The 1,544-nt window shown below is 48.4% G+C and overlaps 1 annotated feature.

Annotated features, from left to right (window-relative positions):
• Positions 413-929: an enhancer, noted in NCBI's record as "NANOG hESC enhancer chr8:90354032-90354548 (GRCh37/hg19 assembly coordinates)". NCBI's record gives its function as "activates a minimal SCP1, AML or CMV promoter by ChIP-STARR-seq in naive H9 embryonic stem cells {active_cell/tissue: H9 hESC(naive)}" and the evidence as "EXISTENCE:reporter gene assay evidence [ECO:0000049][PMID:30033119]".

The following is a 1,544-nucleotide window of genomic DNA, read 5'->3' on the forward strand; positions in this document are numbered from 1 at the left end:
CAGCCTGTTAAATTTATCTGATAGAATTATGAATTTCTTCTCTGTGTTGTCCTGAATTTCTTTGAGTTTCCTCAAAACAGCTATTTTGAATTATCTGTCTGAGAGGTCATATATCTCTGTTTCTCTAGGATTGGTCCTTGCTGGCTTATTCAGTTGATTTGGTGAGGTCATGCTTTCCTGGATCGTCTTGAAACTTGTAGATGTTCAGCTGTGTTTGGGCATTGAAGAAATAGGTATTTACTGCAGTCTTTGCATTCTGGGCTTGCTTGTAACTATACTTCTTGGGAAGGTTTTCCAGATATTTGAAAGAACTTGGGTGTTATGATCTAAGCTGTATCTGCTTTACGGGGTACTCCAAGCCCAGCAACACTGTGGTTCTTGCAGAGTTGTAGAGGTACCACCTTGATGGTCTCAGACTATGCCTGGGAGAATTCTCTGGATTACCAGGAAGAGACTTTTGTTCTCTTCCCTCCCTTTCTCCTCAAACAAATGGAGTCTCTCTCTCTGTTATCAGCCACCCAGACCTGGGGGTAGAGAGACACAAGCCACTCTGTGGCCACCACCACTGGGAATGCACTGAGTCAGACCTAATGCCAGCATAACAATGGGTCTTGCCCCAGGCCTGCTATAATCACTCCCTCACTACTCCCTCTGTTTGCTGAGGATCCAGGCGTTCCACAATCAGCAGGTGGCAAAGCCAGCAAGGCCTGTGTCTCTTTCAAAGTAGCAAGTCACCCCAAGCTCCAAGTGGGTCCAGAGATGTTGTCCAGGAGCCCAGGAGTAGAGTCAAAAACCTTAGAAGTTCACCTGGTGTTCTATTGTGTTGAGGCTCATCTGGCACTCAAACCACAAGATGAAGTCCTTCTCATACTCCCTCCTCTTTCAAAGGCAGTGGAACCTCACACCATGGCCACCACCACCACAGGTCCCTGGGAATTACTGCCAGACTACCACTGATGTTCCCTTAAGGCCCAAGGGCTCCTAAGTTAGCTTATGGTGAATGCTGCCAGGCCTGGGACTCACCCTTCAGGGCAGTGTACTCCCCTCTGGCTCAGGGCAGGTCCAGAAATGCCACTCAAGAGCCAATTCCAGAATCAATTACCCCAAGAGCCTTCTTGGAGCTCTCCACCTCTGTGGTTGAGCTCGTACCTAAGGTGCAAGTCAAAATCCCCTTTACTTTTTCCTCTGCTTTTCTCAAATAGAAGGAGTTTGCCCCATAGCCACCACAGCTAGGAATATGCTGATTCTCACCTGAAGCCAGCAAGTCTGAGAGTGTCACTCAAAGCCTTCAACGTAGTGCCTGGGTATCACTGCTGGTTGATTATTCAGGGCCCAAGGGCTCTTCAGTCAGCATGTGATGAATCCTGCCAGGACTGCATCCTTTCTATCAAGGCAGAGGGTTCCCTTCTGGCCCAGGGTATGTCTAGAAATGTTGTCCAGGAGCTAGGGCCTGGAAAAGGGGTCTCATGACTCTGACAAGGGCCCTATCCTGCTGTGTCTGAGCTGCTATTCAAGATGCAAGAAGTCCTCCCCACTCTTCCTCA

Source organism: Homo sapiens, chromosome 8 (assembly GCF_000001405.40).
Source record: "Homo sapiens chromosome 8, GRCh38.p14 Primary Assembly".
In the NCBI taxonomy this organism is placed as follows: Eukaryota; Metazoa; Chordata; class Mammalia; order Primates; family Hominidae; genus Homo; species Homo sapiens.